At 50.3% G+C, this 13,757-nt stretch overlaps 1 protein-coding gene across 4 annotated transcripts in view, besides 4 other annotated features; it reads left to right on the top strand.

The window, feature by feature from the left end:
• FSTL4 (follistatin like 4) overlaps positions 1–13,757 on the top strand; it is a 645,613-nt gene that overhangs the window by 496,671 nt on the left and 135,185 nt on the right. Inside the window, exon 1 of one of the 4 annotated variants that reach the window (XM_011543286.4) lies at positions 10,708–11,386. The exons of the other annotated variants lie outside the window; for them this stretch is intronic. The gene's annotated coding sequence lies outside the window, so the exon portion shown is untranslated. Of the gene's footprint in view, positions 1–10,707; positions 11,387–13,757 lie in introns of those variants that run through there. 4 annotated transcript variants of the gene reach the window in all.
• Positions 3,276–3,463: a silencer, noted in NCBI's record as "fragment chr5:132677626-132677813 (GRCh37/hg19 assembly coordinates)". NCBI's record gives its function as "represses an EF-1alpha promoter that drives an FKBP-Casp9 reporter gene in an ReSE screen in K562 erythroleukemia cells {active_cell/tissue: K562}" and the evidence as "EXISTENCE:reporter gene assay evidence [ECO:0000049][PMID:32094911]".
• Positions 3,831–4,330: an enhancer, noted in NCBI's record as "H3K4me1 hESC enhancer chr5:132676759-132677258 (GRCh37/hg19 assembly coordinates)". NCBI's record gives its function as "activates a minimal SCP1, AML or CMV promoter by ChIP-STARR-seq in naive H9 embryonic stem cells {active_cell/tissue: H9 hESC(naive)}" and the evidence as "EXISTENCE:reporter gene assay evidence [ECO:0000049][PMID:30033119]".
• Positions 12,691–13,214: an enhancer, noted in NCBI's record as "H3K4me1 hESC enhancer chr5:132667875-132668398 (GRCh37/hg19 assembly coordinates)". NCBI's record gives its function as "activates a minimal SCP1, AML or CMV promoter by ChIP-STARR-seq in naive H9 embryonic stem cells {active_cell/tissue: H9 hESC(naive)}" and the evidence as "EXISTENCE:reporter gene assay evidence [ECO:0000049][PMID:30033119]".
• Positions 13,215–13,738: an enhancer, noted in NCBI's record as "H3K27ac-H3K4me1 hESC enhancer chr5:132667351-132667874 (GRCh37/hg19 assembly coordinates)". NCBI's record gives its function as "activates a minimal SCP1, AML or CMV promoter by ChIP-STARR-seq in naive and primed H9 embryonic stem cells {active_cell/tissue: H9 hESC(naive and primed)}" and the evidence as "EXISTENCE:reporter gene assay evidence [ECO:0000049][PMID:30033119]".

Raw genomic sequence — 13,757 nt, 5'->3', positions numbered from 1 at the left:
AAACTATCATCAGAGTGAACAGGCAACCTACGGAATAGGAGAAAATTTTTGCAATCTACCCATCTGACAAAGGGCTAATATCCAGAATCTACAAGGAACTTAAACAAATTTATAATAGAAAAACAACCCCATCTAAAGGTGGGCAAAGGATATGAACAGACACTTGCCTTCACATTTCTAAGGGCAAACAATTTTGTACCTAGACTTCTATACCAAATAAAAACATTTTCAGTATACAAGAAATGAGATTTCTTGTATATCTTTCTGATTTAAAAAGTGGGGGCCCTGTAGTACCAGCTACTTGGGAGGCTGAGGCAGGAGAATGGCGTGAACCCGGGAGGCGGAGCTTGCAGTGAGTGGAGATCGTTCCACTGCACTCCAGCCTGGGAGACAGAGCGAGACTCCGTCTCAAAAAAAAAAAAAAAAAAGTGGGGGCATGGAGGGTGAGGAGTGTAATCCAGCAAGACAGAAAAGGAACCTAGAAAGAAGAAGAGCTGGTCCAAGAAACAGAAGAGCTAAGCCAGGTATCCAGTGAAACAAAACCCCGGCAGGACTTGTGGGACAACTGTGTAAGAAACCTGGGAGAGAATCCATTCAAGTTAGAACAGAAAGTCAGAAGGTTCTGAAAAGCAAGTCTTCAAGAAGAAAGTTAATTCCATTGAACAAAAATAAGATGAAGAAACTGGAAGACCTCAGAGATATGATGAAGAATACGTATGTGCTATCCCTCAATAAATTTTTTAAGGCAGTTAAAAATTCTGGAGAAGGCAAATTGCTAAACCAGAAAGACATCATAAAATATTAAGCAAACTAAAATATGTCACGATTTTGAGCAATTAAAGGAAGATGAAGAAAGAGAACAATTTAACTATGAAGCTTAAAATAATCTCCTTCAAACAGCACAGGTGAGTCACCTGGGCTGACATCTCCCCTGCCGTGAGGTTCACTGTATCTTTCTGCCATGGATGAGGGTTACATCATCAGAATGTTGATAATGTTCTTTATTCATTTTCACTTTTAGAGTCAATGAATAGAAACTTACACTTATTACTTATAGTTACAGAATGTAATGAGGTAAAAATTAATGTTTTAGACTGTATAAGTAACAGGGAAGGATCAGGGAATTGATTTTTTCCATAGTGAAGGGGCAAGAAAGGTGTTTAATTTGTCCAATTGTATTATTTGCAGTTTTTGTTTTTTATGGTATGCATATTTTGCTTTTAAAAATTTTCAAGAAAGTGGTGCCATATTAAATATCTGAAGGTGTTTCACAGGCTGTCTCAGGCCTATAAGAATTCACTGCCTTTTCTGTTCTGTGCCTTTTACTATATTTTTATTTATTTGCCATTCTTCAAAGATTGCAATTTTAAATTGCTCAATATATTTTCTCAGTTGAAAATATCAATGTATTTATGTAATGAAAATGCCAATATGTGTGTATATATCTGGAATTAGCATAGAAATGATTAAAGCAGTTCAGCGTTGATCAATAATCGTATTTGATTTGGGATTTTTACTTTGTTTCCCTCGACCATCCTGTGCTTTGATATTTATTACCACCCACTGAGATTCTGGCCTCAACTAAATAGAACTTGCTTAAGGAAATTCAAAATCTAGCAATTGAATTCAAGTGGTGTTGCTCACAGAATGACAATACAGAATTAGGACTTGCAGAGTAAACAGAAACCCAGTAGATGGGAACTGCACCCTTGATAAAATGTCTCTTACTGCCTTGAATACAACCAAACATCACCAAACCACAGCCCCCGGCTATAAAAAACTTTTTTTCAATTATAAGGTCAGAGTCTTCTTTCAACTGCGCTAAGCAGTTTGACCAAAACGTGTATTTCTGATATGTGTGGTTTTGGAAGACCTAAGATTCTCAAGCCCCAGGGTTCAGAAGGATGCCGCAGTGTTTTGAAAAGTCCTCTGTATTCCACGTTCTGTATGAAGCTGCCAAGTTGCTCAGGTGTTCCCAGGAACAGAGAGGTGGCCGTGGGCCAGCCTCCCAGGGAGCCCAGATGCTGGCTGCAGGCTGTCTCCACACCCGTGCTGAGTGTCCAGCCCAGCCAAGGTATGTCTGCTTTCTGTTGGCACCGCTAGTGGCCCTAAGGAGACATTTCACATCAGAGCTAGCGTCAACCCTCCCTCTGTCCTCCTCACAGAGGACTCAGAACTTTCTCTCTTCTTCCAGAGTTGCTAAGGGAATCCGCACCCTGCTTTACCTCTTGCTAACTGAAATAAAAAAGTTTTCCAGGACAAGTGGCCTGAGCCCTTGTGATGATGCACAATAATCACCCGTGCGACAAGAGCATCCTTCATCTCGATGGGCCGGCAGGGGTGGTCCCTGGCCTGCTTCTAGGAAGAAGGAAAGGCCTCAACTCCCACAGTCATTAGGACAATCACAGGCAGGTGGGTTTTCTAGAGATGGTGAGAAGCAGCTCCCCTTATGGTATAAGGATCCGTGAGCAATCAGAAACCAGGGTATTCTGGGAGATTATTGGAAAGGCATACTCTGGGTACCATGGGTTCTATGGCTGCCATGTGCAAACACACACAGCGTGAAGGCAAACGACCAAGGGGGTATGCACAAATCGATGTGGCCTTGTTAGGGGTCTGAGAATCACTGGTCATTCTTTTTTTCTTTTTCCCAAGTTTTCTCATAGTCCCCATGAAAGGGGAATGTTTAGGGTTACAATGTTAATTTGCTTTTAACTGACATTTGCCCTGTGTCTGGGGTGTCTCTGCTCAGCTCACCTGCAGCATCTGATTCAGGCTGGACGTCCATAGTAGGCCCTCCAGAAAGACTCATGGGACACACAGCCCTGGCCAGAGCAGACAGGCAGAGGCCGACTCCAAATGTTCCTCCTTCATCAGGTGTTGGGGTAAAAGCGCTGTGGATGAGCAGGTTGACAGCTTGCCTCCTCACTGCAGTGCTGTAAGTAGAAGATGAATGGTGCTGCTTGTTCAGAGATAATTGACACAGGATTTTTCCACTTCCTTGCTTTGGCAGAGGCACAGTTTTGTTTTCTTTGACTCCAAGCTAAAATTTCCCCTGCCCCTTCTCTGCAACCTGCCCCTGGTGCCCTCTAAGCCCCTCCATGGTGTTGACCAGCCTGACCCCACAGCTTCTCCTCCTACCTCTGCCGCCTCTCTCTGCAGCCACATGGGGGTCCAGCGCCTGTTTCCCTCCTGCCAATGCTGCCATTCCCTGAACTTCAAGCGACCTCACCACAGACCTTCAGTGCCCCCTCCTGTCAACAGGAAGGCTCTCCTTCCAGCTCCCTTTCCTGCCACTCGTCTGCCTGATTCCCTGTCCATTCCTGGGGCCTCTGTGGACCCCACCCTGTGTGGGGTCTGTGCGAGTTGCCAGAGCCAGTGAGGAGATGGCTCTAGCCTCAGAGAAATCACACAGGAAGCCCTGAGTGCCTGGGAGACAGTGCTGGAGCAGGTACTAGGCCTGGTGGCAAAGCTACTAGCTCTCTTATAGGCTGGAGAGGTGGGGGTTGACTGTCATACATTGGAGGGCCACAGCTACATCAATAAGATACTGTTAGTGTTCTTGCATCATGGATGACAGAATTAAGGTTCAGAGAGGGTAAGTGACTTACCAGAGGTCACATAGCTTATAAGTGGCACATTCAAGGTTGACACCTAGGGTTTCCTAAAGGAAGAATTCTTCAAGGTGGGCCTGGCAGGACATATGGGATATGGAGAAGCAGAGAGCGGGGGCTGGAGAGAATGGCACAGAGAGGTGACAGGCCCTGGAGTTAGAACAGAGGTGTTGGTAGGTGGCTGTGCTCCCTTGGCAAAAGAGCACCAGACAGAGAGGGGGAAGGGTTCCTGTCTGAGAGGTCTCCACCGGCCTGTCCCTCATCCTCTGCTGCTTCCTTCACATGCACTCACACAGGGGCTTGGTGGGAATTCCTAGGACCACGTGCAAGGGAAATGCCAGGAGAAGCCGTGTTCTGGGGTATGAGAGCCAGCCGCTGAGCCCAACTCACGTCCTGTGGGAAGCCACCTCATGGTTAGGGAGTCACCTTGACCTTGTCTGAGACCTTAACTAGTTAATGTGCATGTGTTTGAATTCCTGCACATATTTTTTATGTTTGAATTCCTGCACACGTTTTTTTTTTTTACTTTCCCCTAAGTAAAAAAAAAAAAAAAAAAATGTGAGCAGGAACTCAAACATATTCACGTTAACTAGTAAAGTTAATGTGAACTCTCTCCTGAGCTCTTAGTTTCGAAGGGAGGTCATGTCTGCACAAGTCGTCTAAGGAACACTGTCTTTAGAGCCTGGTCTCTCCCTGCTGTGTGATGCGAATGAGAGTGGGCTGGCGGCCCCTGCTGTGGGCAGTGACTTTGGAGCGCCCTCAGGCACCCCGCACCTGGGCCTTGGGGTGGTTTTGAAGCCTAGCTATGCATCCACTTACCCTAAAAGCTTTTGACAATAGAGGGCCAGGCACTGTCTCAGGAGGCTCTCTTCTAGCTGTCTCGGGGGCAGCCTGCTCATTTTTGTTGAGTTATCTGAGTGAATTATTTTATTCCTTTTTATGTCCTGAGCAAACCCACATCCTCATTTTATTAGTGTATTTCCAATTATTGCATAATGATTTCCAGTTTAGCTTGGTCTGTGATATGAGGACACTTAATCAAATATCTGTACGATAGGCCTTTAAGTTCTCTAGGGCCAGAAGTTTTCCCATCAATTAAGCTTCAAAGAAATGGGTTTTAGGCTCATCTGCAACTGTGTTTTTGTGTTTCTTTTATGGCCTTCCTGCCTTCTCCTGGTGGCTTTAGAGATACCAGGAAATGTGACGTGGGACTAAGGTATTTATTAGTGGGTGTGCAGAGAATGGGTTTATAATGGTTATTACAACATTTTGAAGTGGCTGCCTTGAAGCAGGACAATTTATGTTTCCATTACAGTCACCTTATGAGCACCCCACACACACAGTTCTGCCAGGAGGGGACATCTACCCTGGATCCTGTGGACTCCCTGGGATCAAACCCCTGGAGGTTTCCTCTGGAGAGAGATTGACCCCCAGAACCTTCCACACACCCCACACTCACCCCATGCCTCAGAGGGATGAAAATCTGACCACTAAAATTCAAAGAGTATTTCTCTGCCATCCGGGGTGCTCCTCCCCTGGAGCCAGGCCAGGCAAGGTGCCATTCTGGGCCTTGACTCCTATAGCAATTACAGGACAGAGGTTATCAGCCCCATTTGACAGATGAGGAAATGAGGCCCAGGGAGAGAAGCCCTGGGCTTCCAGCAAGCAAGCAAGTGGGTGCTGCTCTGCTCTGAGACTCCCCATGCCTGGAACACGAGTGTGGGGGGAAACAGCACCCCACGCCCTCCGGCCTATCCTGTGAGCACTCATGCAGGGAAATAAGAGCAAAAGAGAGAACTGGGAGGATTCTCAAACCACAGTGACTCCAATCCCCATACTTTTTCACACTGAGTGGAGCTCCCTTCCCCATCTCTGAAGAGGAGAACAGACCCCAGGTCATCAAGCCTGGTCCTAGCCAGGGGCAGAGCTCTCAGCTAGAGCACCTCGCACTTGGATTTATTTGTCATGGTTTCTCTTCTGCTCTCACCTAGGCAAAGGGGTTGGATTTCACTGGAGGAAAGTTCCAGAGGAAGCAAAAGGGAAAGCCTGTGAGCATGGAGTATTCTTGTTCAGTTTACCAAGGGGCTGTCCTATGGCAGCCTGGACTCAGGGTCAAAGGAAACTTAGAGGCCATGCATGTCTCAGTAGAAGCAACTCTGGACAAAGCCATGTGTTCGTTCCTTTGTTTATCTGGCACATGTTTGTTGAGTGCTAGTTGTATGCCAGGACCCCCATTGGCTCATGTCGATGGTGGGAGGGACATGTGGACAAGTAGAGGAAGCAGAGATGATCGATGTTCTGAGGGGGTGTCCAGGGCTCTCAGAATACACAGGAGACTGAACCCAGCCAGGAGTGGTCAGGATAGTGACATGCAGGAAAGCCACGTGCCAGCTAAGACCCAAAGCCCTCCACCCCTCCCTCCCTGAGAGCAGGCCTGTGCCCAGTTGCCAGAGGTGTCCTATTCCTGCTCCCTATTCAGGGTTGCACTACCATGATAGGGCAAAGCAGTCATCATTCCATCAGTGACCACGTGTCTTGAGCAGATGCTGCAAGCCAGCCCTCTGCACAGCCCCACCGATCTGAAGAGGCTTGGAAAGGGGCGGGGGCAAGATTCTAGCTGTGGTGTTGTAGCCCCAAGGTGATGGTAGGCATGTTTAAGGAACTGAGGTGGCGCAGGGTCGCCAGAACGGGTGTGTGAGTGGGGAAGGATGAGGCTGGAGACATAACAGGGCAAGTCAGGGAGGGCGCTGCCTGGCTCCAGCCCGAAGGCAGTGGGAGCCCCCATAAGATTCCTCCAGCTACTGAGTGGGGGAGGATTGGTGGGGACATGATCGGAGGCATAGTGGTCATCCGGGGGTGTTAATGGCTTCCTGAACTACAGCAGAGGTGGTAGGAGTGGTGGGAAACTGGCACCCTAAGAGACACAGTGGTAGAAATGACCTGAGCCAGGACTGATTGGCTGGGGATGGGCAAGATGGTGAGGTAGTGCCAGGTGTGCGATTTGGGAAGCAGGGGGCTTGGGTGGAGGGGTTGTCGGCTGAGGCTGGGATGTGAAAGAAGGAGCAGTCTTGATGGTGAGTTCCATTTGGGCCATGTTGAGTTGAGGGGCCTGTGGGACAATGTGGGGAAATGTCAGGCCAACAGTGGGGTGGGACATCAGGAGCTCAAGAGAGGATAGTGGATACTGGGCTGGATAGTGAGTAGACACCGCTCCAAGCTTCCCCTGCACCAGCCTCGATTGAGGGAACCGAGTATCCATGGGGGAGCAGAGGGAAGTTTCTGTATAGCTTATGCCACTCCACGTCCCAAAGAACCACAGCTTCTGGGAACCTAGAAAAGCATGGGGCAGGAGAAGCAGCCAAATACTCTCAGCAACGACCACCTTTAAAAGGGCCTGAGAACACCAGGGTGGGAAGATGGAGCATGGTGGAGGCCAGTTCCATGGCCACTCTTGTGTTCTCCCGCAGGAGCCAGTCCAGAGTGTGCACTGGCATAAATGGGTCAGCACACCCCACCAGGGCCTCTAAGCATGGAGCAGACAGGAATAGGGGCACACACCCGGGGGGTCATCAGGGCCAGGGCCAGTGAGTGACCCGAGTCATCTAGAAACATGACTCAATCGACATTTACACCTGCCAATCAGACATCTCCCCATGGGTGACCTGGGAGACCTATGTGCACACCAGGGACCCAGAGAGTTAAGCTCACACTCGGATACATCCTGTGATGGAAAGACACCCCTGGAGCTCTCCTGCCAGAAGCCCTCCGCACGCATACTCACCACCCAAACCCCCTCATCTAAGGCCACACAATTTTAAGTGATCTGTAGGCAAGAACCATGACTGTCTTCACATTTGATCTCCATTTCTTCAAACAGTATCCTATCCTCCAAAATGCTCACTACCTAGCGCCTTAAAAGTCAAATCAACTCCACTGAGTTGGCTCACTTTTTAAAAGATGCTTCTCCAGCTCTTATGTTTGCTTTCTGATGGAGGGGACAACTAGCCTTAGCTACTTGGAGCATGTTGAAAGCTCTGAGTGGTGTGCAGCATCGACTCTGTAACATCCAGCCTGAAACTTGGAGGCATAAGCTGGGAAAATGTCCTAAGACATGGGTGGCATTTCAAATGTAATTATTGCTGGTATTCCCATTTGGCAGCCCAGCTTTCAAGCCAGCCAACTCCCTCATTTTATATTTACTTTTAGTCCCACACTATTTTCTGTGATCCATTAGCTCTAGGAAGTCATTTAAAAGCTATAATCACGGCGCTTTGCTCAGGTGGATGCAATCCAGATAAATGGACCCAGATCCACTCCTCGAAGAAGCCTCGGGCTCCAATTCAGCGCTAATGCACCCCAATTAAACAAGCAGAGCCAGCTGCCCCCGTGAGTTCTACCTCATCTGCATTTAAAAACTAGGGAAAGTGTGGGCAAGAGTCCGTTGCAGAGGACGCTTAACAGCCCGCTTCCTAGTTGGAAAATGTACCTTTGGCCTTGCATTTGGGTCACAGGTGCAAGAAGCCCCCACCTAGAATGCAATCATGATGTCCCTCAATGGTTTGCCTCATCATCCTGGTGCACGCTGTCTGGAAGTAAGCTTGCCCACCACAGCCCCATGCTGGTGCAAGGGCAGGTTGGGGGCTCTGGGCCTTACCGGAGAGGACGATATCCCAAATCGAGCACTGTGGGCCTGCAGCCCGCCATCCCCGAACACAGGCCTGTGCCCAGTTGCCAGAGGTGTCCCGTTCCCGAGACAGGGGTGTGTTGCTGTGATAGGGCAAATCATTCATCATTCCATTAGTGGTCACAGGTCTTGAGCACATACTGCGAGCCCTCCATCCCCATGGATCTGGAGAGGCCTGGGAAGGGGTGGACACAGCCCCTGCCCCGGGGTACACAGTGTGGTCATGGAAATGGTGCTCACTCTCCTCAAGCATTAGATGCTACATGCCTAGAAGGGCTCAAGGGAGACAAGCACAGGCTGGGGAATCAGAAAAGGCCCCAGGGAGGATGAAGGACCTGGCTGGCTCAATAGAAAGACAGGCACACAGGGTCAGGCCTGCAGGGAACCATGGGACAGAACTGGCTGTAGGGTTGTTTAGATGGAGTGGGCAGGAGGATGTGTTGAAGAAGATGTGGGGGCCCTGATGACAAGTCTAGGCAGTGACTTCATCAGTCAGCCTCTCACCCCTGCCCTGGGTCAATGGGGGCAGGGAATAAAATCCGTACCATCCTTTTCTCACCCTCCTTAACAGAAGAGCATTCACACAGCTCTCAGCACTCAACGCTGACTGCAGAGGCGGCTGTGGTCAGGAGAGGGGAGCAGGATGGGAGAGAGACAGCCAGAAGGGAAGTCGCTCAGCCAGCTGTGCCCACATCTTCTCATGTCCTGGGGCATGGGCTTCTGGAGAGCAGGGCTCGAGCCTCGCCCCCTTCTCCACCCACTTCACACCTCAGCGTAGTGGAAGGCAGGGTGGGGTCAGTGCTTGTTTGTTGAGTGATGAGGACTGTTCAGGGCTGGCTGTGCTCATTCCCCACCCCACCCTTGCCTCCTCCCCGAGCTGGACAGCCCAGCTTTGCTGGGGAGGATGCGGCAAGGGTCAGGGACAGTTCCAGGGCCTCAAAATGATGAGGGCTGCTGTCCCGTGGTTATGGTTTGGAGCTCTTCACCTTGTGCCTATTTGGTCTATGTTCAATCTGGGATCTAGAGTTACAGTAAGTCCCGGTAGTAATTCACATGCTCATGAATTCACAGAGCAGGGTAAGCTATGGGTTGCCTATCTCTGCCAAGCCAGATATTTGGAATGGTTATAAATATCTCCCACTGTCAAGTAGAGGTCCCTCTGCTCCCTCAATGCAAACCACATAGCTTGGGATCCATTAGTTCATTCCAAATAATTAAGAAGCACCCCTCATGGGTGTGGTGGGTATAATAATTCAGAAGGCAAAACTCTTCCTGTCCCAAGGATCCCAGTGTTGGTGCATCAGGGCCCATCTTCTTGGTGGGCATCACACTGCATGCTGGAGGAAGAATCAGCTTTATAGGGCAGTTAATGTTGAAAGTCAAGTGCAGAATTTGGACTCTGATTGCCACCCCCCCCAAGAAAGGGGAGGGGAGAGCTGTTCAGGGAAGGCTTTCTAGAAAAAAAAAGAAATTGAAGCTGTCCCCAGGGGACAGTTTAGGGGTTGATAGGGGGACATTTCAGGTAGAGGAGGCCAACCATGCAAGGCCTGGAGGGAGGGAGGCTGGGCCTGTCCGGGGGTGGCTTGCTGGCCAGTCAGGCATGACTGGACCATGAGGGGAAGGGGCAGAAAAGTCCATCTTGATTCCTCCTGGGCAGGAGACCCTTGACGTCTCTTTTTGTGTCACGTGAGCTGAACAGCCAGGGCCGTGAAGGTCGAGTCCCAGCCGTGCCTGAGTCCATACTTCAGTCCTCAAACCCTTGAGAAGCCTAGGAGGGGAGAGCAGGGCAGACGAGGCCAGGGCATGGCCTGTGAGAGGCTCCTCAGGCCTTACACATTGGCCCTGTGTGCTCAGAGGTCTCCAAGGAGGCCCAGTTTTATGTCAGGGCCCATGACAAACCCTCACCAAGAACAGACTAACTGAGCACCTGCCTCCATACCGATACCTCTGAGCCAGGAGCCACGGCCAGCCACGCCTTCAACATGAGGAGGTGGTGCCGTGTCAGCACAGACCGCCAGGTGTTTCGGGAGCCTTGCTCACAGTGTTTGTGTAGGACACCCCAAGGTGTCCTAGCTCCTGGACTAAGCCTCCTTTAGATACCTCTGGGAGCTGAGTATTGGGTGAGGCCAGGACGCCCTGGGGCAGTGGGGATCCCCTGACTCTTAGGCCTTGTATTCTTCTCCTAAGGCTGCTTGGCAAAACCCACACCCCCACCCAGCCTCCTCCCCAGAGACCCCAGGCCTCCTGGCAGCCCTGGGTTGAAGGGATGCCCAGCCCAGGATGGCAGAGTCTCAGGGACCAGATGAGCTGCCGCCACTTCCATATCAGTGACCCTCTCCTGTGAGCCCCGCACCTTCCCACCCCTCCCCCATGTACCTAGGCCTGGGCTTGGCTGAGGACAAATACTGTCTACTCAAAGCAACTGCTGTCTTTCAGACATATTGAGAAACATCAGGTTACCTTTTTTAAATAAACATATCATTGAAGCATAACACAGAGAGAAAATGAATAAGTCATAAGTGTATAGCTCAGTGAACTTCCACAGAGAACATATCTGCGTAACCAGCACCCAGATCAAAAGACAGAATCTTACCAGTGCCCAGACGCACCCCACACCATGCTCTATTCCAGTGTGACCCACCCAAGCATACCCACTACTCAGGTGGCCTTTTGAAAGAGGAGAGGGCATGACTGTGACAAAGCAGAAGGGTGGCTAACACCAGCACTGCCACTTAGAGGGGTGCCCAGGTAGAGGGGAAACAGGGAAGAGAGCAGAGGCCATGAGGTAAAGAAAAGCTTCATGTGAGTGTGGAAGAGAACGACCCAGTGAGCGTGGCAGGACCCTCGCCAACTGTGACTGGAAGCTGCATGTAGAACTTGAAGCAATCACCTAGGAACTTGTCGTCATGGTAATGGATTCAGATGCTTTATCAGTTTGGAACTCGGCTGCAATATCAGTTTGGAACTCGAACCATTTCTAGACTCTACGCCCAAAGGAAGACAGACTTTTGAGTGGAAGCGATACAAATTACCTGTGGAGCAGAAAACAAAGATCTCCTGTTGGCACTCAGGCTTCCTCCTGCTCTAGGTGAGACCTCGGGACCTGGGTGGGGCCTGGCCCTTCCAATGCCTCAGAGGTCAGACATGGGGCATTGAAGGGCCCTCTTGGCTCAGGCTGGGGTCCAGCTCACTCTGCCCTTCCCAAGAGCAGCTGTACTCATGGCTCTGTGTCTGAGGGCCCTGAAGAACATCCTGCAACATAGATCTTTCCAGATTTCCTTTCCCTTCAGTCTCAGACACTACCCTCTGCCTGATGCAGGAGGCCCTGCGCAGTGCAGGTCAGCCTCTGCCTGACGTGGAGATGCCCTCGCTGGGTGTGACTCTGCTTGCTCCAAAGGGTACCTTGCTCTGGGAATCGGCTACAGGTCATTCCTGTCAGTTAAAAGACCTGGAAATCCCATCTTTGTGTTCCCTACATTTCTCAGCCCTGGATGAGATAGATGACCAGCCCAGACGTCTGGATTTCTGAGCCACAGCTGTGGGCAGTAAAAGGCAGGATGTGCCAGTGTGTTAGTGACAATAAGATTTGCCCAGTAAGGGGCCCCTATGCCTGGGCAGGGTTTCAACGTGGTCCTTGTGCTATAGAGATTCCTGTCCTCTCCCATCACAGTTAGAGCTGGAAGGCTGGAAGCAGGAGAGAAAGGAGGTGGAGATGGGCAGAAAAACAAAACAAGAATGTGGGGCACAAAAGGACAGGCAGGCAACGGCCTGGCTGCATCGCCATTGCCCGGGGCCCCAGGCCTCTCACTGTTCCTTGGCCTCAGTTTCCTAATCAATAAATGAGGAGCCTGGACTACATCATTCCAAAACCTTTATCCCTGCTCCTGGGCACTATGACCTGGGATTTGTGATGGGCCAGCTGCATAGGAGCCTCCAAGAGGCAAACAGGGTGCAGGATGGGGCTGGGGCTGAGCTGCCGCCACATGTGCAGTGTCACTGGGATGCACACCCAGATCCACAGCTGTGTGTGAGAGTGTGAGTGAGTGTGTGTGTATGTGTGTGCATGAGAGAGAGACAGACAGAGAGAGAGAGACAGAGAGAGAGAGGACACCTGCACGTGCAAGGACCTATTCTCCAGTGTCCTCTCTGCACCTGAGCCTATACTGGGTGCCATGAGCCTCCAAAAGAAATGAAAGAGTTTCTCACCCCAGCCTTGTGAAACTCTTACCAGAGTGTTATCCTCACCAAACACAGAGCACCATTCGTGGTAAAAACAAAAATGGAGGTGAGAGTGTGATTGGCTTATTTAGCTGATGGCTCCTGTTTTTATTAGGAGCCATGACATCATCAAGTGGCATTTCTTGAGCCTCACTTACCAGATGATTTCTCAGTATTTGCCCTTCTGCCTGGAAAGTTCTTTATGAATATTTTAACCACATTTTCAAAGCATAAGTCAGAAGACAGGTTAACACATTCTGAAGCAAAACATGCTAATTCTGTGACACGTGATCTGCACCATATCCACAGGGACACAGGTGCATAGGGCTCCTGCTGGGATCTCAGATGGGAAGACCCTCAGGCTGCAGGCCACTGGCTCCGCCTCTCCGGCCCCAGGTGTTCTCTGAGCTGTGTACACTTTTCTTTGGAGAATCCAAGAGGGTCCCTGTCACTCCCATCAACTGTGGATCCTGAACCTCTCAAAGCATCTGAATCCATTACCATGACAGACAAGGCAGCCAGGAGGCCATTCTCAGGCTCTGGGAACTGATAAATATGGAGGCAGAGAGCAGGCTGGAGTCATTGCGCAGTGTGTGAGTCTAGTGAGAGCCAGCACATCTGCCAAATCCCATCAGGCTGCTGCTTTCGCTCCTTTCCCGGTGTTCAGGGAGTGAGCAGTGCAGATGCATTATGGCTGAGATGTGTCTGGAATCAAACTCCATCGCTGGAAGAGGAGGGCTTTCTGAGCGCTCGGAGGACCCACACCTGGTTTGCTGTTTATCCCCACTGCCAACCCTCCCTCGGCAGCCCCGGCTTCTCACACTGCCAGGCCCTGCATTCTGGATGTGAGCTGAGACCACAGCCTGCGCATCAGCTCAGAAGCTTCAGGTTGAAAAACCCACACGTTCCGCCTGGCACCGACTTTCACAGAAATGAGGGTTTCTGCAGCTCCCTCCACGGGCTGCCCACATTTTGATAAGTTTCCCGTGTAGATAATCCTCAGAACAGCAGTGCAGGTGACGGGGAAGGAGAGCCTTCTCACTCTCCTCCCAGAGGCTCAAGCCCTGGAAATACTCCAAAGATCTCCCGAAATGGCTGGTGTTCGCTTTCAGAGTTGTGGAGTTTTGTTTTATTTTGACCAGGGATTTACTGTCAATCGTTCAAGTCCGAGAGGTTAAGATAAATCTTCAAACCTCAGGAAATTTCTCTGAGCCGTCTCAGGTCTAAAACCCTCTGTTTGG

This window comes from Homo sapiens, chromosome 5 (assembly GCF_000001405.40).
Source record: "Homo sapiens chromosome 5, GRCh38.p14 Primary Assembly".
Classification (NCBI taxonomy): domain Eukaryota; kingdom Metazoa; phylum Chordata; class Mammalia; order Primates; family Hominidae; genus Homo; species Homo sapiens.
The sequence above is the reverse complement of the archived record's forward strand: the minus strand, read 5'-3'. Positions and strand labels throughout refer to the sequence as shown.